Source organism: Homo sapiens, chromosome 5 (assembly GCF_000001405.40).
Source record: "Homo sapiens chromosome 5, GRCh38.p14 Primary Assembly".
NCBI lineage: Eukaryota > Metazoa > Chordata > Mammalia > Primates > Hominidae > Homo > Homo sapiens.
This window is the reverse complement of record NC_000005.10, coordinates 7,614,578-7,636,407: the sequence shown is the minus strand read 5'-3', so window position 1 is coordinate 7,636,407 and position 21,830 is coordinate 7,614,578. Positions and strand designations below refer to the sequence as shown.

Here is a 21,830-nt window from a genome sequence, read left to right as displayed (position 1 = left end):
AGTCACAGCATGATGCCATAGGGCATGTGCCTGCTTGTTCTAAACCCACCGATTAGAAACCTGATTGCACAATGTCCTGAACCCCAGCGAAGGCTTTGGCCCACAGCTCCCTCTCTCTCTCATTCTGCACCTGCTGGTTGAGCCTGTGTGTCCTGGATGGCTCCCTGCTTTTTGCTGGCCCTGCAAATGGTGCTGCGCCCTCTCTTCTCCAGATCTGTAAACAATAAACTGCTTCTGTTATTTCATGGGTTCTGATGAGTTGCCTCTTCTACCCCATCCTAACTTCTGTCCTGGTCAGGGCTCTCTGGGAGAGTGGCTGCCTTGGTAGGAATAAACTAGACACAGGTCAGATGAGAGCCACAAGGGCATGTGCCAGGATAAACAAGCTTCCCGTGAGAGGGACACCTGGCCACAGGCTAAACACTTAGGTATCAGGCTGTCTGTGAGGTCAAAGAAGGATCCCATGAAAGGCACATGGGAAAAACCCACAACCACATCCCCAGGATCCCCGTCAGGGCAGGGCTAGAGTTTACAGCCACTATCATGAGAGGGAACTCAAGACTAAATTAGGAAAAAACAAATCATCTATATAACTGGTTGATTTTTCTCAGTGACTTGGGCTTCTTCATCTTCCTCTATTCCTGCTCAAATGTTAGTGTGCTTTGAGGTTTGGTCCTGGACCCTTTTTATCTTTTCTAATCCCACTCTCTCCTTGGGGCATCTCATCTGGTCCTGTAGCTTGAAATAGGAACTATATGCTGATGACTTTCAAGTTCACATCTTTAACTCCAGATCTTATTTACAGCTGCTGCTTGGCATCTTGAAATTAGCTGTTAAAAACTCAAATCTGGATTTCTACTGTACCTTACCTCCCAATAAATAAAGTGACCAAGATGTTGAAATGTTAGATGCCACACCAACCATCATCCAGTTGCTCAAGCTCAAACCCCAGAAAGTTCTCTTCATTATTTTATTTTTATTTCACTCAGCAGCTAATCCAAAAGTAACCCATACTAAATCAATTTTAAAATATGTCCTAAATCTGTCCACTCTCACCCAAGCTATTCCTGTATCCAGCCTGTACTGCTGCCATAGTATGCCATGGCTTCCAAGGAGTCACCTACTAACACTCATCCCTTCTCCAACCCATCCTCTACTAGGAGCTAGAAGGATCCTCTAAGACTGTTAATCAGTTTACGTTGCTATCTTACTCAAAACCCTTCAGTGACTTCCCACTCAGTATAACATCCCAAGTCCTTGACCCACCTTGCAAGGCCCAGCGTGTAGTCTGGCTCCTGCCTCTCTCCCCGCAACTGTCCCACTGACCCCTATGTTTCTCAAACAGGCCACCTGGCTCCTGACTCAGGACCTTGGTAGTTCCCACTTCTTTTGCTGGGAACATTTTTCTCAGGCCCTCCTAGGTCTGAGACCTTCAGCAATTCATATTTCAACCTAGATATCACATCCCCAGAGAAGCCTCCCTGCCTGGCCCCTCCAATAGGCCTCTTGGTCTTCTCCAGCCACCATGCTTTGTCACATTATCTTGTTATATCTTCTCATGAAATTATGGATTTGATAAGTTACAGTCTATCACCTGCTATTAGAATTTAAGCGCAAAGAGAACAGGGACCTCTAGTCTTGGCTACCTCTGCATTCCCCAACCTGGGAAAATTGCCAGCACCTAACAAGCCAAAAAAAAAAAAACCTGTAAATTTGATAAATAGGACAAGAGGGCTTTTCTGCATCTTGTATAATCCTGTATTTAACAGAAGAATATATGTAAAAATACTATGCAATTTGAAAAGGGTATGAATGTGTTTATGTGAGTATCATTATCTCACATGCCTCTTGCATTGCATTCTGAGTGCATCATATAGTCCACATTTATGACAACGTTAGTCTTTGGGGGGAATTGTCACATCCAGTAACACACATATATTAAATGGCCCATCATCCGTAAGTACATTAAAGGACTTTTCTACAGAAGTTCTAGGATAAAATAAAATCTTGACAGCACTCAGATAACCCTAAAAGTATAATCTCCAAAAATAATACCATTTGAAAACACATATGCAATTTACAAAACCCTAAAGTTCATGAGTCCTAACCTTCAATTTGTTACAGATATAAATGGATACCTCGGTTCAGTAAACACATCACTAGTGCCATAGGAGGTATATGTATCTGCAACTGTGCTCATGGTAATATACTATTAAATATGCATGATCAGTAACTTTAACATTTTGAAGTCAGCCCCATGAAAGTAAGTTCAAAATGCCTTTCCCCCCCATTAAAAGGCATAGTGGCCTATCTGTGATTACATTTGCAGGAAGAAAAATATGATGGCAATCACAGAAGACTTGAGTTTTGTTTCTATATGTGACAAATATCACAAGAATGTTTAATGAAACAAAAGGGCTCATTTTAGAATTGCTTTTTATTGGGTTTATTTTACTGGTATCAAATGATGTCAAATTGTCTTGAATCTTTTAACTAGATTATTCTTTGCCTATTAAACATTCTTACCAGCATCAAAGTACCATATCACAGAGTATTAAAAATAGGCAGTCCCCAGGAAATATTGAAAATTCTAGGGCTCTCAGAAACATCAAAATCAGGTCCTCTCCTTAGTACATGACTTCTGGTTTTGGGGGCTTCTTATTATCAACAAAAATCTGCTTGTGATAATCTGGAGTAATATAACTGTTTCCAGGTGTTTCTTCAACAAGACAGGTGAGTTGCTTCTTCACTGTGGACATGAGCAGGAGGTCTTGCTCAAGTTTCTTACACAGAGAAAACTTCTAGAAGGTTTAATTTTATCATTTGGCTTTTCTACTGCCATGATGTAAATAGACACCTGCATATATTTAACCATTAAAAGAATCTCTGCTTAATTAATTGCTATAATTCTTTTTTATTTTTATTTTTTCCTTTAAAGCAAAATGTCTATATTTTTTCTTTTTCTTTTTTTTGAGATGGAGTCTTGCTCTGTTGCCCAGGCTGGAGTGCAGTGCTGTGATCTTGGCTCACTGCAACCTCTGCCTCCCGGGTTCAAGCAATTCTCCTGCCTTAGCCTCCCGAGTAGAGTAGCTGGGATTCCAGGTGCCCACCACCACACCCAGCTAATTTTTGTATTTTTAGTAGAGACAGGGTTTTACCATGTTGGCCAGGCTGGTCTCAAACTCCTGACCTCAGGTGATCCGCCCGCCTCGGCCTCCCAAAGTGCTGGGATTACAGGCATGAGCCACCGCGCCCTGCCAAAATGTCCATTTTTTTTTTTTTAAGAATGAACAAATAGTTGCTAATGTGGCTTTTGTAAACCCCTATAATGGCCTGCATTTATATTCTTTGTTAGGCATCAATACTGGACAGTGATTCCTGAGAGTTCCTTCATCCTCCCCCTGGATCTTGGATCTGTAACTGTTGACTCCTCCTTAAAGGAGGTTGATTGCACAGTCATAGCACAATCTTCATTGCAATCTTCGCAAATTTGTGGTGATCTCAACCATTCTAACTAAAGGACTTCTCAGAAAATACTGCAGACTTGATTTAAGGATTATTGACAATTTTCTGGAGTTAATTTTCGTTTCTCATTTAAAAGCATCCATAAACATCATGGCAAAATTGTAGCATCCTGAAACATCTTGTCCTGGAACTTCTCAATGAGGCATGACATCTGAGCTTCATGAGAATTTAAGTAACCAGTATAATACAGTGTGGTGCAAACTGTGAAAATATTTCTTAAAGATCATTCCGATGGATTGGAATAGCAAACACTGTGATGAGAACCTTTTATAACATCTCAGCTCTTCATTTTTTTTTCAGTTTTCAAGTAAAGTGTATGTGTAGTCTTCCACATCATTTAATGTTACACCAATGAGAGTTGAGATAAAAGCAATAACCAACACTGGCTTAAGCTATGCCCTCTGCACTGGGGAAGAGATGCCAAAGAGAAAAGTATATACTAATCATTTACAGAATGAAAAAAATGTGATGACCAAGATGGATGGAAGTTATGGCCTCTTTACCAAGGAGGAGATACCAAAGAAAAAAATGACACAACTAATGATTTAATAAAAGATGAAAAGTGGAGATCTCAAAAACATAAGCAGGGGGCGTGGAAGAGTTTAATTAATGGTCTGAGATGTCAGAACCCAGGCAAGGCCTTTATATCTGAGCCAAACTGTACCTGCCGCACGATGTGTGTTTCTCCTGTTAGGCTCTCTCTGTTGGGCGCATCCCCCAGCCCTGCACCTCAAAGCTCAGGCGTGACATTTATATTAAAATGTGCTGCTTTAATTCTTCAGCAACTGCAGTGAGAAAGTCTCACTGGCTTGAATTCCTCTCACACTATTAATGTCCAGCTTGGCTTTATGAAAAGGTACATAACTGTTGAGATGCCTCACCTCAAGTCCATGTAACAACTCAGGTGAAGACAATTGGGTAAAACAATTAGTCTTGTCATTGATGAGTCCTCGTAAGGTCCGTTTCATTGGCAAAAGGTAAACTGAACATGCAGAGATGGGGTTGGTAAAAGACTGTTTTGAATAACTCACCACCACATGTCCAAGCAGACAAAGCTGCAGACTCCTCTGTTCAATCTTCTTGCCTCCAGGAAGAAGAAAGCTGACCCTGGAGGGATCTTTGGGGATGGCATGGCTGGCATCAAACCCTCCCCATGCCTCAGCATGGTCATGGAGGGAGTAAGATGGCAGCTGATTTCTGTTGCTTCATGTTAGTGCATGAGAATTCAATGGAAGAACAGCTACTGACTGCCTTCTTAGCAGGATACCATTTTGGATGCTTAAAGTTGCTCAAAGTTGTTCCTACTCTTTTTAGGACTTCCATCAGAGAGTCCTTCACGTCCTGGAAAATCTCCAGTTAACATTCCCAGAGATCAGACCAGAAAACCCATGCAAAACCAACTTGAAAGACAGAAGGGCCCTGGAAGTTACACTTACTCACTGAGTGATCTGGGGCCAAGTAATGTGAGCAGTTTCTTTATTCGGTTTAAATGGGAAAAACGACTTAGGTCCTAGAGTTGCTGTAGGAATAAAGAAGACGGAGAGTGGTAGGCTGACTAACGGTCCCACAAAAGTATCTCCATCTTAATCCTTGGAATCTGGGACTATGTTAGGTTACATGGCAAACCAGGGATTTTGTGGATGTGATTAAATTAAAGATCTTGAGATGGTGAGTTTATCTTGGATTAGCCCGGTTAGTCCAGTGTAATTACAGAAGCCATAAGAGTAAAGCAGGAGGGTTGGAGTCAGAGAAAAGGAAGAAGATGCAACAGCAGAATCAAAAGTCAGAGACAGGCCGGGCTCAGTGGCTCATGCCTGTAATCCCAGCACTTTGGGAAGCCAAGGTGGGTGGATTGCTTGAGATCAGGAGTGCAAGACCAGCCTGGGCAACATGGCAAAACAAATACAAAATACAATAAATAACAAAAGTTAGCCAGGTGTGGTGGTGGACACCTGTAGTCCCTCCTACTTGGGAGACTGAGGTGGGAGGATCTGTTGAGCCCCAGGGGGCAGAGGTTGCAGTGAGCCGAGATCATGACACTGCACTCCAGCCTGGGTGACAGAGCCAGACTGCATCTCAAAAAAAAAAAAAAAAGACAAGGAGAGAGAGAGAGAAAGCAATTGAAAGATTCTACCCTCATGACTTTACATATGGTGGAAAGGGTCTAGGATCTAGGAGCCAAAGAATGCAAGCAGCCTTCGGAAGCTTGAAAAGGCCAGGAAATGAATTCTCCCTTCAAAATCTCCAGAAAAAAACAGCCCTGCTAATATCTTGACTTTAGCTCAGTGAGACTGATTTTGGACTTGTAACCTCTGAAACTGTAAGATAAAAAATCTGTTCTGTTTTAAGCCATCAAATTTGTGGAAATTTGTTACAGCAGCAATAGGAGTCTGATACAACAGTACACATAAAGTACTACATAAAGTACCCAGGACATTATAAAAACTTAAAGAAATAGTACTTGCTTCTGTTTGCTTTTCCAAATTTTAGCAGCCCAAATCTAGAAAAACTTCAAAAACTCTTCACCTTGCAAAACAAATGAGCCATAAAATGCATTCAATAAAGCCGTTATAATACCTGCTATCACATTAGGATTAAAAACAGGTAAATTTGTCATTATCTACCCAGCCATGACCACCCAAGGATCACTTTCTTGTTCCACTAAATTCTGCAGAGAGGAAAACAATTTTGCATCCAAGGACAGCCAGAAAGACTACAGCCAGAAAGACTACAGCCAGAAAGCCAGAATCCCCACAGAGAGTTGCAGAATCCAGGTATAGCATGGGGTCTCTGAGCCTCGCCCGACTAGTATTTTTTACTAAAAGGAATGTTCTGTCATATTTGATCCACAGGATGGTTCAGATTAAGTAAATCACATAAAAATTTGTTAAATTATTCTAAAACAAAGACAATATATAAATTAAAGAGGGTTTATTCTCCCTCTATGAAATAGCAAACCTGGCTTTTACTCCTACGGAAACAGCATTTATTTCAACTGCCTAGGCAGTTAGCAAACAGTGTTCTTATTTTGCTGTGAATCCAGCTCTCATTAATTCCTGAGAGCCTATTACATACCCCAGAGAGCAACACTCACTGAAATATGTTTTCTCAGGTCTGATAAGAGCCATCTGCCACACTACACGGTGCTCAGGAAACAGCTGCGGATTTTACTGTGGGATATGAAACTTAAGACAAAAGTCAAAACTCGAGACAGGTGAATACCTTCTGTTTCTAAAGGCGGCCTCAATTCCAATGCAATGCATTCTTTTCCCTACCTTGTAAAAAGTCATGATTTTTATTGTTCATAATGAGAACATTTTTAGGGCAAGAACACAACTCTGAGAAAATCTCTAGCAACATTTTTCATTCCTTCTTCCCTCAAAATCTTATAGTACAAATGGCCACTTTATTCAAGCATGGGCTTTAATCTTTAGAAATTCATCTCACTTGCATCTGAAAAATATCACAAAATCTGAAGAAAAGACAGCATGGAGTTTTGCAATTTTGAAAAGATTTCAGAATCGTTAGACAGGTCCCAATAGTTTCAGTGCCCCCCCTCCAATCCTGGGTGAAGAGGGACGGCTTCCTGGGCTAACCCGCCACTGTATCCTCTCCAAGGAGGAAGGACAGCAGAGAGTGGGGCTGTGAAGCGAGGCCAAGGAACTCCCAAGGTGGCCGCCTCTCAACCTCTGGGAGCACCAGCTCTCTCTGACGCAGCTGCTAACGTGTACATTAAATTGGATGCTATTTATTTATCTAAACAATGACTGAAACTGTTTTCTGGCTGGTCAACACATATCCTTCCGGAATGAAGAACTTTGAAGGACATTACTGTTTGCCACAGTGACTGTGGATGAAGCGAAAGGTGGTTTGTGGTGCAGGGTGAGCAGGAAGTGACACAAGGAACCCAAACCTGAATTTGATCAGTGGCCCTACTGGGCCTCAGTGTTTCAGGGGCCTCTCCCTTCTATGAAGGTCACACAGATTGCCACTGGCCAGTTTTTACTAGTTTCCTTAAATCTATCAGATTATATCTTACTGATGGTTTTTTTTTTTTTTTAAACCAAGATAATCTCTTCTTCCCATTTAATTACATGCTGGTCTGAGAAAAGTACAAACACATCTCATCGTAGACACATATTCTCCGAAGCCCTAACAAGAAAGGTACTGCATTCTAGGAGTAGACTCTGGAAATGGACTTCCAACGCTTGTGACAAAATGCTCTTGTGATGTGAAGTTGTATTATATTAAACATATTTAATATCAGTTCTTATTTCTTTAAAGTGTCCCTTCTCACTTTCTTTATTTTTAAAAGAATCACTGACTTCTTTTCTGAAACTAGTAGATGCATGTCTTTCTAATGTCTCCCATGATGGTTCAGTTCTTGAGCTCCACAAGGTCAATGTGGCTCCTCTTACCCTCAGCTCACTGTGGCAAGGGATGCCATGTGCTTTCAGCTGCTCAGTTCTCTTCAGAGAAATATGATGTGCAGGTGAGGTCAGTGACCTGAAACTGCTTTTATCAAAGCTGTTCCTAAAAATATTAGGTTATGTAATCCATCTACTTGGAATTTCTGTTCTCTGTAGCTTTAGTGCTATTTTGAAGGAGATTACAGAGCTGATGAAAAAAAAGTTAAACATGTCTGTCGGGCCCAACTTGCTCCAGTCTGTACTGCTTGAGAAAGGAAACCATCTCTCCCAAAACATTTGAACCCTGTAGCATGCACTACAGCAGGACCACCCATGAGTGCTAAGGGCTCCTTGTCCAAACTGTGGAATTTTCTAGAACACAGATGTAAAACGTTACTGAAAATAGGTACATAAGAATAAACTGGATAATAGTCCCAAGTTAACAACTATCTATGTCTCTTAATTTTGAATTCAGAATTTGACACACATCTAGAACAAACAAACAAACAAAAACATCGGTTCCTGAATACCTTTGCTATATAGGTGGTAAGACAAAATGTATTTTTTAAAAACAAACCATATTTTCTAATCATACCAATGCAAAGGCAGTGTTTACAGTTATATCCCAGTGCCTAGAGCCATGCCTGCCACAGCCTTGGTGTTCACTAAATATTTGTTGAATGAATGAACTAATATCCTGGATCCCTGTTTTCAAAAAAGAATGATTACCATTCAGCAGTCCACACATAGACAAAGGACTAGTGCCAAAATTTAAAGGATATACTTTTTGCTCCTACCACAATACACTTTGATGAAATTTTATAGAGTGAACTAACTCAATACAACTTCACAAACAATAATTAAGGATCCATGATATGCCAAACACTGCTAAGAGCTTAGGTAATGTGATGAAGGCCCACAGGGAGGGGGAGCACAGTGTTTATAGCCAGCCATGCTAATTATTAGCTTTACAGACTGGATTCTCAGTGAGAAATACACAAACCCAGGAACACACAGCTGTTCACATGGATATCTGCCATCACCCGGAGTGAAGCACAGCAAATCCAGGGCCCCTCTATGGCTTCTTCTCCATGTACATCTGTTGTGCCTGCTTTCCACCATCCTTGGTGATATCTTGGTCCCCACACATCTCCTATTGTCTCCATTGTTTGTTTTCTGTAATGCTTCCTTGCAGTCTATACATTTCCCTGATGTGCATTTGTGTCACCCACAACAATCAACCTAGGATGCCCCTGACAACGACACCTGGCTCCTCCCCAGACTCTTCAATCACCTCCCTGAGGAAGACTCCAACATTTCATCCTATGTGGACAACAGGCGCTGTAGGAAGTGCTGTGATGGCACAGCACGGTGAGGGGGCGATGAGGGGGAGGCTCGTACTTCTGCTGGTGCAAATGCTTGTCATAAACACTAACCAGAAGTGAGCATTTTCACGAACTGTTCTTATTTGACTTCCCCAGCCACTTGTTGATGATGGTTGGCGTATCTGGCTGTGGGTGATCCTGGGTCCCTTGGTCTGAAGGCTGCATGGGGAAGATGCAATCTTTGCTCTTTTGATCATAACTCTCTATTACAGTTTAGATGCTTGTCCTCTCCAAATCTCATGTTGAAATTTGATCCCCAGTGTTGGAGGTGAGGCCTGGTGGGAGGTGTTTGTGTCTTGGGGGTGGATCCCTCATGGACACATAAATGCCCTCCCTGGGAAGGGAGTTTGAGGGAGTTTCTCACTCTATTGTTCCCATGAGAGTTGGTTGTTCAAAAGAGCCTGGCACTGCCCCTCCTTCCCTGCCTCTCTCTTGCTTCCTCTCTCGCTAAGTGATCCCTGCACATTACCCATTATCCATGAGTGGAGGCAGTTAAAGGCATTCACGAGAAGTAGACATGGCACAGGCTTCTTGTGCAGCCTGTAGAACCATGAGACTAATAAACCTCTTTTCTTGGTAAATTACCCAACCTCAGGTATTCCTTTATAGCAGCACTAAGCAGACTAAGACACTCCCCAGGTGCAGAGCCCAGGGTTTCTTCTCTGATTTTTCTGAAGCTCATGAATGAATGAACGACACTCAACATTAATAGTAACAGCATCATTTTAATAATGACTAAAATAATGTGGATGTAAGATGAAACATCCATTACCTGTTGACGTTTTTCAAATTCCAACTTGATCCGCGACTTGATGCAATTACAGGTGTCCTGATATGTTTGCTGAAGAGCGAGTTCCATGAGGTGCTTATGGTAGGCTCCCGCCAGGTTCCCACAGATGAAAATGATCACATTGGCCAGGATCTAAAGAGACAGAAAGAGCTGCTCAATAGGGTAACTGTTTCTCACTTGTGAATACAATCAAAACAAAGTGCACATTAGCAACAGTCTTCAGAGAGATAACTGCAGGAAGTTAATTTTACTTCTGTTTCCAAAGTAACATTTTTATTTGCTTAACAGAAAACATCAATCTCCAGAAGAGTTCTGCCCTTTTCTTGGATCCATGCCCTTTGGTAGATGACTTTGCAGTCCCTCCCTTGACTTTGGGCTTAGCCATGAGATCTGCTTTGCTTTGGCTAATGCAATGTGGACAGAAATAATCACGAGCTAGATCCAGCCCAGGATTAGGAGACCTTTTGTTTTTCAGGTCACTCTCTTGCACCTCATTAGGAAAAGAACACTTCCGGGTAGCCCACCAGTCCCAGGATGAGAGACACATGGAGCAGAGCTGCCCTAGTCAACCTGCAGTCTATTATTGTGTACCTCTGAGATTTCATGGTTGTTATGCAGCATTATTGTGATACAAACTGCCCTCACACCAAAACTGTATTTGCTGAGCCTGGATAAGTGACATTCACCTATTATCTTTTGTTTATGTAGAAATATGGTAGTCTTTCAAAACATATAACTCATTATTCTTTTCATGATAAAAACAATTCATGTTCATATAATTTGGGAGAAAAACAAAGATATAAAGACAAACTAAAAATAATCTATAATTGTCCTGCCCAAGCAGAACACTCTGCTTTCCATACGGCCTTGTCTGCCTACTCCATTTTCCTCTGTATTCTCAAAATTGGTGGCATACTTTACTTTGTCAAGACCTCTATCTTGTTCCAAGAAGCTTCAGTTCATTCTGAATGTAGTTTTGTGCTTTGCTTTAACATTTAATAAAATATTTTTTAGCTCATGTAAGTTCTGTAGAAACAACATTTTAAATTCTTAGATAATATTCAGTTCTGTGACTGTATCATCCTTTAGATATGTCCATATTGTTCAATACTTATTAATATTCTGTGCATTGCATTATGCTATAGTGGTCAACCACATGTATAAAGCTTTGGCTTCATATTTGATCATTTCCTCAGACAAAATTACTGAAAAGCCAGAAGTATTTTTAAGTTATTGATATGTATTGCAAAATTGCTCTCAGGAAATGTTCAATTTACATTATCATCAACAGTGTATGACAATGGTCTTTTTAGTGTAACCCACTATTTACATAGAGCAAGCTCTTGTGTGTTCATGGCAAGACCTACAGGTCTACCTGTGAGTGGATAGACACATCTGGTTAAAACCCACCCTACCCTCCATTTCCACATGACTTGTATTCCCACCAAGACAGGTCACTAGTGGCTTTAATAACAAGTCAGTGGCATCAGTTCCGAATATCCTATGCTCCTCCCTAAGAATCTCCCCAAAACACAGACCACTTTATCACATTAATCATCCAACGTGGTGAGCAGGAGTGGCTGGAACCCATTATGGGAATTTTATTTCTAAATCTTCAAGGTTCCTTGTGACAGGACTGAACAGAGAATCATAGCTGTCCTCCTTCTCTATGCGGTGGGGGAGGACAGTCCTCCCAAGGAGAGCAGGAGAAATTGGTCTAACTTGAGGGTTTGGGAAAAGGATATGAACCCTCTGCATCTTACCCCATCCTCCCCCATAAGCAGGGTCTTCCTCCCTGAAGTGGGTGGTCATCTCCATGTCCTGCATTCTCAGCCAAGCAGTGGACCTAGTGGGCCACTTGCCCCTGTGCTGGGAAAGACCTTGATTTGGGGACAGATGGCTGTAGGGAAAGATGGGTAAACTCAGGGGATAATCAGCAAGATCATTTATTCCTAACTGTACTCTCCAAATAGGTGTAAGTGTAATAAGGTGACATTTTGTTCTCCATCTACCCAATGCCTTGGTCTATCTCTCAAAGGGTTCTGAACACAGGAGGAAAACAGTGATATTAATTATTAGCCTCCTCAAGTCCTACAAAATAAATGTTTGGGATACAGAGAAAAAAGAGGACAGAGTTAGAAATTAAAAGAATGATGTGACGAGGTTCTCTCTGAATAAATGCAAATGCACAATAGAAGTGGGGTCCAGAATGATGCAGATTAGAAGGGGCCTTCAAGGCTGTTCCATGTAACTCACTCATTTCACAGAGATTTGGGGCCAGAGAGTTCCTAAAACGCACCCACATTCTTAGAGCTAACCCCCATAATGTCCAGTTATGCATCTATATTTTATCTCCTCCACATTAGTATGGATAATTAAAATCTTTGCTGGGAATTGCTCTGTGTGTGTGGTCTGTGTGTGGTATATGCATGTGGTGTGCATACATGCATATAACTTGTGTGTAATCTGTGTGTGAAATGCATGCTTGAGTGATGTGTGTGCAGGTGATATGCAGGTAACACACGTGCTCTGTGTGGAAGGCCTATGTGCTCACAGTCTGTGTGTAAGGAGGTGCAGCAGCCCAGCACTTCAGAGCAATGTGGCAGTCTTCAGTATTACTTCTACACATTTTCTAGCATCACAGGGCTCTCTTCCTTCTTATTGCCATACTTTGATGCATCACCTTTTCTGGGAATGTCAGTCCTGGAGCATGTGGAAAGCCCTGATGACCTTCCTGGCTTCCGATTAGAGGGGACCCTCCACTAGCTGAACAGGAGTTGATTTCAGCACCGTGTCCAATGGTGCATTGTCAATTAAGTCCTGCCATACTTTGCTTCCGCAAAATGGCCATCTGCTTTACTAAAAATTCTTCAGACCTTGTCATTGCTGGATATGCTTTGAAGAACAGTGCACCAAAGAATGCAGGAAATGAGAGAAGCCAACGCAAACCATGCTGCTCAGAGTTAGAAAATACTAACTCCTTCCTTATTAGGTGTGGCTGAAATAATAATAAAAGCAACTCAGTGATTATTCATGAGAGCTTTTTCTCTTCCTCCTCAGAAAATGCCTTCGAAGCAAACCCGTCAACATTTTAGGGAGTACATTTCTCCAAAATAAAAACCAAGTGTAAGCAACAGAACTGAATGAAGCCATCATCTGTCCCTGGGCTTCCTCTGCAGGGCATAGAAATGGGGTACTTTGATACCGACACTGACACTCCAATATGAGTCTCTATCCTCTGGAATGTGAGTGCTGCCTTGTCCTGTTTTCCTAGAATCCCACTCCCCACTTATTTCCTCTGAATTCTCTTGGCTCAGAGGGCCTTGTTGTAACAGAACAGTTGGCCCTGAGTGTCACGGCTCTTTCCTTTATTGCCATAGGCCTTTCTTCCCCCACGCTGGGGCAGCCTGTATAGGGTAGTGCCCCCTCTGTGGCAGAACCCTAACAGTAGACTGAATTCAGGGTGCTCCCCGCTGTGCTGCCTGGCCCTGTGCACAGAGCCAGTGTAGCTGACCAGGCCAACGTTTCTTGTCCATTGAGAGGTTTCCAAACATTTGACAACAGAAGCTCATCCCAAGCAAGAGGAGGCCCCCTGGAGAGCAATGAGGCTTTGCACTTCTTGCTGCCTGTCTTCCAGCCAATGCTCTCCAACTGCCACATTCTACTGGCACACTTGCACTGCCACAGCAGGTAAGGAAAAACCTTCTTGGAGTCATTCATTCTGGATGCTGCATTGCTTCCAACAAATGTAATTTGAACCCCTCCTGTCTGTAGATAATGGGAAAGAATGCCTTTACTGATTTTTAATTTATATATTCAAAGGAAAACTTTTAAGCAATATACAACGTAGGGCTTTAATGTCAAATAGAATATGATATGTCTTTTCTGATGGAAAACTTATCAAATTATAAGCCTGTTCCTGATACCCGGTTTCATCCTTGTATTCTAAGGTTAATTGAATTGACCTTGGCATTTTGATAATGACACACATTTACAAATACAATTGATGTCCTAAATAATTTTTATTTTAAAATGATGCATGCATGGAATGACTTTATACAAGACCTAGGGCTGCAAGGAAGTGATTAGGTTACAATTTTCTTTTCAAAAATAATATCAAAGCATTTTATTTTCCAGAAGACTGTTAAGCAGAACCTCTGACAAACAATCCTATTTCCACAATGTTGAGTTTGTTTTATAACATCATACCATCTTGATGTCTCCTTTTATCTTCTTGCTTCATTTAGCTACTTTCACATCTGTCAGAAAACAGGAGAGGAACTTGGCCTCCAGAGATGTCTTAGGAGGAAAATAAATTATTTAAGGTAATAATAGCAGTCAAGGTTTACCCTGAAGATTAAAACCAGGTCTTGAAATTGAGTATGCGCGGGGTCTGGAATCTGTGTAAGTGGAACCGTGCCCACACGCCCACATATCCTCACAGAGGCTTGCTGTCCATGCTGCACCCCATCATCTCTTGATGTAAACGTGGGGTGATTTGTCAACACTTCACATGCTTCTCAGAGGATGCAAATTAATGAATCCTGTACTTCTGGGAAGGGTGGTATCTACTAGCAAATTATTATTATTTTGCTCCTTTCATAATGACCACCATAGCCCTTCTAAATATACCTTCCATCTTTTCACATTTAAGAGTACAGAGAGCAGCGCAATCAGGAGAATGGACTTGTTTTATTATTTCATCTTATAGACGAGGCAACAAAAGGTACAAACAATTAAGTGACCTGAGGGCTGTCCCCAGGCCAGGAGAGGCTCTCCAGATTGTCCCTGTATATTCTACACAGCCCTTATTCATACGCATACAGTCAGATTTCTCCACCACACACACAACCCCCTCTAGGGGATGGGGAAGGTGTTTTTGAGGAATTTCTAAAGAGACACATGTTATTTTTTAAGAAACTAATTTTTTTCTTTATAAAGCATTTGTGTTTATGCTGTAAAGTGCTTTCATCATTTAAAGTTATGTTAAGTTCTTGGAGACCATACGCCTGTGGAGTCTTTACTGGTTCAGCTCATGCATCTGTGCGTGTTTAGAGGAGAGTGAGGGGAGGGTCAGGCTGCTCTCATCCAGGTCATGAGGCACAAGTGTGACCCCTCTGAGGATTATTTCACCTGAGAAGAAAACATTTAAGGGTATCAGGTCATTGTCTTTAAACATTTGAGAAATTATCACGAGTTAGGTGACCACTCAGATCCCTTGTTATGGCTTTGATATGTTATGCATTTTAAAGAGTTTACTATTCTAATTCTTAACCTCATGTTGGGGTGGCAAACTAAAATGGCCCAAGCAGACACCAGGCAGCACCCTGCAGGCTGAGGGCAAAGCCAGGCTCCTGGTAATGAGGGAAATGCCATCACTTAATGACAGTTTTTTTTTTTTTCTATGAACTAACTGCACAGTGTCAAAGGAGAAAAGTTATAGCATTTGATACAGGTCATCAGCTTAAAACAAAGCAGATCATAAATATGCAAAAACACCAATTATAAGTCAAAGGAAAATAAAAGGGAAGACAAGGACATGATGAAGAGAGCTGGGAATGAATATTCAGTAAGCTCACATCTCATAAGCATCCAATTTGGCTTACAGAAAGCAATGCTCTTGCCTGGGGGAGAAAATAATCAGGTACAGTTTTCCTTAACTGATCTCTCAGACATGGCTGCAGAGAATCCCAATCCCATCTCCTTAGCATTTTTCACAGCCCTCTAAGAATTAAATTTGCTATGTGCGGTGGCCTCAGGGTTTCTGCTCTTTATCAGTCATTTAGTGACAATCAGGAACACTGTGCTTTGGTTAATGACATCCAGTGATCTTTAGGTCATGTGCTAGGATCTTCTAATTTGAAGTCCCTCCAAATGAGGAGGAGTGGAGTGAGACAGGAAGGTATAAAGAAGACTGAAACACCAACAATCTCAACAATGGATGTTATTAGGGCTTTGGGCTAAAAGACTGGAACCAAACATTGGGAGTCAAATGCAATTTGATTTCCCATGGAAGTTTCCATTACAAAATAGATAGTACTGTTGGTCATGATTATTATTTTCTTTATTCTTTTTATACCACATCTGTTGCTATTAAGTCTTTTTGAATAGCAGGCATCATGTTATTTTTCCAGATATATTTGGACTGAAGGGCTAAAGGGTCTTATAATTAGATAGGGCTCATGTCTGGCTAATAACTAGAGTGTGGCAGCTTGGAGTGCTCTTTGCTCTTCTCAGAACTGCTCCAGCAACTCTTTAAAAGCCAACAGGAAGAGATAAGCCTAGAAGATCCTCAGATCGTTATAGAAAGTTCCTCCTACAAATTAATTCATTGAGAACACAGTTTCCCTCCAAGAAGAGAAAGCTGAATTAACCATGCAGAAATCCAAACTTGTACTTCTCAGCTCAGTGACTGCAAACTTGAAATCGATGGGGAGAAGATTCACTTGATTATAGTTTAGAACCAGAGAAAAGGGAATAACATGGAGTTTCCAATACTCAGGGCTCCATAGAAGAAAACAACACAAGCCATGAAGATTTTGGCTTCCCTATTTTCTGCAGAGGAGGGTACTGTCACCCTGTTTACTCTTCTGTTCATTCTCTCTTTGACTTCAAGCACACAGAACAATCTTAGCTTCAGGGTTTAGCTTCTCTCCACTATGGGAAAAGAGAAGATGAAACAAGTGAGCTGTATGAGGAAGTTACAAAGATAAAAATGGAAAAGGAAAAAGAACACTGTCATCAATTTCTATGATGGAATATCTTTAAAGAGTTACACAGAGCTTTATATTTCTCCACAGGAGATTTTTTAGTCCTTTATGATAAGTTAAAGCAGAGAGAATCACTACCACCAAAACTCATATTCCACTTCGCTTGCATCCAAAATAGGGCAGATGTTTCCTTTTCATCCTTGACCTATTCTGCAGACCATTTCTGCAAAGCAACACTACCAGATCTTCTCCCTACTACCTTCTGTCTCAACACAGCTTCAAGCCCAATTCCGAGAGCACCTATAGACTACAAAGCATGTTTGTGAGCATTAGTCTCTGTCCAGACAGCCGAAACACTGTCTCGTGACCCAGTCTGATGTTTGGATAATTGCATCTGATATTTGGTCAGGCAACAAGTCAATGATTACCTAAACTTTACATCGCCACTGATACCTATAGAAGTCATTATCTCTTTGGTCTTTTTGAGTTTAGATAGTCGAATGAGTGTTCATTATTCCAAAGATGTTTGACCTGCGTATTTCAGAAACCCAAATTACTGAATAGTCCTGGATCTTCCAAGAGGCTTACTAAAAATGCTGGTCTCTGTGTCTTCCCAAACCCTGTCTCCCAAAGTAATGACACAACAGGAGGACACATTTTTAAGTGCTGCATCTCAATGCTTTTCAAAAACTTAGAAACATAAAATTATACACCAATTAAAACAACAATTTTACTAGTCTTAAATCAGCTCTCCTAATGATCTGCACCAACCAATATACACTTTGCCTGGTTCTGGTGATTTCAGTGGACTTAAATGCTTAAAAAATAAATTTTAACACACTCTAATTCAGACTTTTCATTAATTTAGACAGATCATCTCTCTAATTAATCTGAATCAATGAAGTTTTGCTTCATTTAAACACCATTTCTAATTCTCTTCATTCACCACCACTTAATAGGTGACACATGTGGTCCACAACCACTCATTTAAAAATTTAAAAGCTGACAGGTATTTAGTTTTATTTAAAAGCATGACCAAGGCTATTAGAGAGTCTGACTTACGCAGCTTAGTTTAGGAGAAAATAATACTCCATTTTAGGGTGAACATGTGGAGTATTCCCCTTCTATTACCATAGCACACAAGAAGGGAGAAAATGTGTTTTGTGGGTACAAGGAGAAGGTTGCATTGCTATCACATTTTCAACTGGCATTGTGACCTACCTATAGCCCCATTTATAATCTACACAATAGAAGGTCAATTTGGAATTACACATAAAAAGTGCAGAGTGCCCCGCTGATTATGACTGAATCAGAAAACACCTGATGAAAGGATATGGGCCTAAACATTGACATCAAACGTAAGAAGACAATGGAGAGACAAGATTGCACAGAGGTATAGAAATAACAACTCAGGGATGCCACGGCCAATCTCACCTGGGGATTTAAACATGATATTAGTAAGCACATCCGTAAGGAAATGACAGCTTGCAAAATCCTGTGAAACAGTCATGGACTCCAAATAAAGGAGAAAAATACTGAGTGCTGTGATTCACAAGGCCTACTTTGAATTGGAATGTCCTTTTTGGTGTGACCAAAATATTCCGCATAAAGTCATAATGTAATTATAAAAGGATGCATCACTGAAACCATTTGGGAAGGGGAGAACAAAAACTTTTCTATTACAAACGAAACTTTGGTTGTTTCATTAATCATATTCATTAGGAAAGAGCATGCCTGGCCACTGCTTCCCTTGATAGAATCAAATGCTGAAAGGTACTCAAAAGCACTCTCCCCACAGTGTACTCTTGGGTTTACCCCAACCACCTTCCTTCCTCTCCTGGTGTATGTTTTCCTCAAAACCATGTTCTGTAAGAATGAAAAGACAAATTTTTAAACTCATTGGCACCATACTCTGACTTCTTGTAAATTTTTGTCAGAGAACATGTATTATTTTTGCCCCAAACACCAAGTGACATCTCATGTTTTCCCAAGTGGACAAGACTGCAGCTGCTTTTCCCAGTCAATAGCATTCAAAGACCACAATCAAAAGGAGTGGGCTTTGCTAAATATGTGCATTAGTATGCTATGATTATGACTACTACTACTACTACTAATAATAATAAAATACCACAGACTGGGTGGCTTAAATAGCAGACATTTATTTCCTCACATTTCTGAAGGCTACAGTCCAAGGCCAAGTTGTAGTTAGGTTTGATTGAGGCCTCTCTCCTTGGCTTGCAGACGGCTGCCTTCTTGCTGTGACTTGGCCTATTTTATGCTGCAGTAGACCACAGACTGGGTAACTTACACAAAACAGAAATTTATCAGCTCACAGTTCTGGAAGCTGTAAAGTCCAATATCAAGGTGATGGCAGGGTTGGCAGTTCTCATTCCAGGAAGGAGCCTTGAACACGGCAGCCTCTGCAGGGGAGGAATGCTTTGTCTCCCATGGCAGAACACAAAAGATCAATGGGAAAAAAAGGGATTAACTCCCTTTTATAACGGTGTTAATCACACCCATGAGGTCACAGCCCTCATGACCTAATCACTTTGTAAAAGTTCTACTTCCTAATAGTGTTACAATGGCAATTAAACTTCAACATGAGTTTCAGAGGGGACAAAAATTCAGTGACCTCACAGGGTCTCTTCTCTGTGAGCACACAACCCTGGTGTCTCTGTGTGTCCTAATCTCCTCTTCTTATAGAGACACCAGTCAGATTGCATTAGGGCCCACCCTAAAGATCTCATTTTACCTTAGCCACCTCTTCAAAGGCCCTTTGTTTAAATACAGTCACATTCTGAGGTGGTTAGCCTTCAACATAGGAATTTTGAGGGAACACAATTCAGTCCATCACAATATGACATTAAGTTTTAAAGACATTTTATTTACACATCACCAGAGAATCTACTGGAATGTCAAAATGGGCAAGCCTTAGACATTTGGGGCTGGTAACTCTTGCAGAAATTCCATGTACTACCCATGATGGTTTAATGTGCACCAAGATGGGATATTCATTAAATACCCTTTAGTCATTCCACAAAACATTTGCTGAGCATTTATTTTTAATCAATTAAATTTTGTACTCTCCCCCTAAAGTAATTAATGTCATTAGAATAAATGCAATAAAACAAGCCAACAATAGAACTCAACAAAGCAAACAAACAATTTAAATGATACAAGGCAGGCTTCTCATGAGCTGGAGAAGTGAGATTTTAATTGCAGCCACTAGGTTCTCAGAGTGATGGCTATGAAGTTTCTGCCATTGGGATCATCATTAGTTTTCTATATGAGAACATACAAATGCTTGTGATTGAAGGAAGACTGGTGATAAACTTCTTCTGACATTATTATACTCCTTCTGACATTATTATACTTCTTCTGACATTATTATAAAACTAATTGCAAAAATAAAACCACTAATGCAGAGGTTCCTGAGTTTTCCTGGTTCATAATACTCATTAATCTTTTTATCATGTTACTAGACTAAACGAAATTCCCAGGAGTTTTGTTTATTACTTAGTGAGGTCATAGCAACTTAAGTATTATGCCCAAACAACTTAGTACTTGATGCAAAAACCACTAGCACCACCATATATGAAAATAAAATATAATATTTTTATTTCATTCTTAAATAATCATGGTGAAATACTAATGATGATCAGTGGCCAATGTGTCTGTTGAGTGTTGCATAACTTTACAGATCATGGATTCTGATTCAATACTGCCACCTACATATCCCATTGCATCTTAATATCTGCATCGTACTGGTTTTTGCTCACAGCAACAACAAAAACCCAGCTTTGCAAAGACATGATGTCAACAAAGGAATGCTGCATGATCTAATGTTGAAACTATGAACTATCTCAAGAGTAGTTTGCTGAGCATCTTTGTATTTCCCTTGAAATTTTATAATATCCTGGAGTGCCCCTGGGTGCCTTGGAACACAGTCTGGAAACCACGTCACCAAAGAACTAAAGTTTTGATGAAGTAAATAAATATACAAATTAATTAAATAAAATAGTTATTAAAACTATGATGAACTTGCTATCTATATTCTCTTCCAAAAATTTTGAGACAGTAGCAGATACTTCCTTTCTGTGCTCATTTTTCTTCTTCTGAGACAAGAAGCAGCCATCTAACATACCCCATGAGTCCAGATTTGGTCAAGTTCTCACTTGAAAAAGATGGCTTGCAAGAAAGAGCTATAAGTCACATGAAGTGACAGTTAAAAATTATTGGCCGGAAAACCAGCAAGGAATTCAGAAGTGCCCCAGAGATAGCAACAGAAGTTTCCTTACCACATATGGATCTGAGGAGGCAAGGGGAGTGATATGGTCTGGATTTGTGTCCCCACACAAATCTCATGTTGAATTGTAGTCCCCAGTGTTGAAGGAGGGGGCTGGTGGGAGATGATTGGACCATGGGGGCAGATTTCCCCCTTGCTGTTCTTGTGATAGTGAGTTCTCATGAGATCTGGCTGTTTACAAGTGTGTAGCACCTCCCCATTCTCTCTCTCTCTCCTGCTCCACTATGTGAAGATGTGCCTGCTCCCCCTTTGCCTTCTGCCATGATTGCAAGTTTCCTGAGGCCTCCTCGGCCATGCTTCCTGTAGAGCCTGCAGAATGGCGAGTCAATTAAACCTGTTTTCTTCATAAGTTACCCAGTCTCAGGTAGTTCCTTACAGCAATGCAAGAGAACAGACTAATACAAGGAGGGACATGTTGCTAGAACCTGGAGAAAGGTGTTACTGCTGGGGAATCAGCTACCCAACAGGAGATGGTGGAAGCAGTCACTGCAAACCTGTGTCCTGGCACAGGGGCTGTTACAGCCTCAATCCCTGACCTCATTCTCCTCTTGCCCTGCAGTCCCCTGGCCATGCCTCCCACTTGCCTGACCCAACCTGAAGCCAGAGGGCAAAGGAGCTGGTGACACAGTGCTTCACATTCACTTCCACAGGACAGCAGGGTGAGAAGAGTGACTATGGGTCTGGAGCAGCAAACAGGGACCACCC

The 21,830-nt window shown here is 41.0% G+C and overlaps 1 protein-coding gene across 5 annotated transcripts in view; it reads right to left on the bottom strand.

Moving 5' to 3' along the window:
- ADCY2 (adenylate cyclase 2) overlaps positions 1 to 21,830 on the bottom strand; it is a 433,944-nt gene that overhangs the window by 193,674 nt on the left and 218,440 nt on the right. For all 5 annotated transcript variants that reach the window (NM_020546.3, XM_011513942.3, XM_047416645.1 and 2 more), the window contains exon 4: positions 10,092 to 10,241. In NM_020546.3, the coding sequence (NP_065433.2) occupies positions 10,092 to 10,241 (150 nt within the window). The remainder of the gene's footprint in view (positions 1 to 10,091; positions 10,242 to 21,830) is intronic.